This window comes from Homo sapiens, chromosome 20 (assembly GCF_000001405.40).
Source record: "Homo sapiens chromosome 20, GRCh38.p14 Primary Assembly".
NCBI classification, from domain to species: domain Eukaryota; kingdom Metazoa; phylum Chordata; class Mammalia; order Primates; family Hominidae; genus Homo; species Homo sapiens.
The window spans coordinates 19,113,893-19,114,982 of record NC_000020.11 but is presented as its reverse complement, the minus strand read 5'-3'; the positions used below and the strand labels follow the sequence as shown (position 1 = coordinate 19,114,982).

The following is a 1,090-nucleotide window of genomic DNA, read 5'->3' as shown; positions in this document are numbered from 1 at the left end:
AGCTACCTGTTTCTAAAAATCACCATGCTATGCAAAATCATGCAATTAAAAACGACAGGGCTCATGAGGAAAATGGGGGTAGGGGCCCAGCATTCAAAAACGTATGTGACACATTAAAAAAAAAAAAGATGGGAACCTAATAAAAATGGTAGCAGTATTTTATTCAGGTGAATGGATAAGAAATAGATAGATATGATGATAAATGTGTCACTTGGCCTTGAAAAAGGCCTTAAACTTGCTTGTGGAAGTGGACATCTGAGGGGTTGCAGCTGTGAATTATTATGAATGCAACAGGAGGAAGCGATGTGAAGTTAGGCAAAAGCTGTGTCACTAGAGGCATAGGTGTGTCTCATAACACTTGTGGTGAGCTGAGGTCACGGGTAGATGTTTGAGGCCCTGCATGTGTCTTTTGTGTATTCCTAAACAGCTCAGTTCAGCTGGGTGCAGTTTTCTGTTTACCTAGTGTTTTTACAGATGAAATCATGCATAAGCAAATGCAAAACTTGTTTCCTAACATAGCAATCTCCTTGGAACAAATTCACACTTTCAAAACAAGCATGAGAGCAGAACTGACTGTAATTCAGATTTCAGCTGCTACCTCTTTAGACAGGACTCATTTGGCACCAGTCAAGAGTGGCCTCTCTTCCACCACCACCGGGCTCCAACTCAATGCCCTGTTTTATTTTCCTCTTAAGAGTTATCTTTATCTAAAATTATTTTGCATATGAACATGTTTGGAATTCACTCTTCTTAGCCTCTAAGCTCCATGAAAGGAGAGATGTTACCCCTTATTAGGCACCCATGTCCCCAGCATTCAGCCTAGTATTTTGCACAGGGTACACATAAATAATAAATGTTTTTAGAATTAATTTGGTTCCTGGTGTTTGTCATCACCTATTAGAACTCCTCGTGGGCAGGGGTGGTTTGCAGGCCCCACCATCCCACCTTTACCTGAGACCTTCAAAAAATATCAGTGAGAAAATATTCATTCTTTTTTACCGTCAAATTTGTCCCAGTTACTATTGCTGCATAACAGATTACCTCCAAATGTAGAGGCCTAGACAATCATATTATTATATTCTCCAGTTCA

General features: G+C 40.0%; 1 annotated feature.

Annotated features, from left to right (window-relative positions):
- Positions 274-323: a silencer, noted in NCBI's record as "silent region_12704". NCBI's record gives its function as "represses an Ori minimal core promoter by ATAC-STARR-seq in GM12878 lymphoblastoid cells {active_cell/tissue: GM12878}" and the evidence as "EXISTENCE:reporter gene assay evidence [ECO:0000049][PMID:35858748]".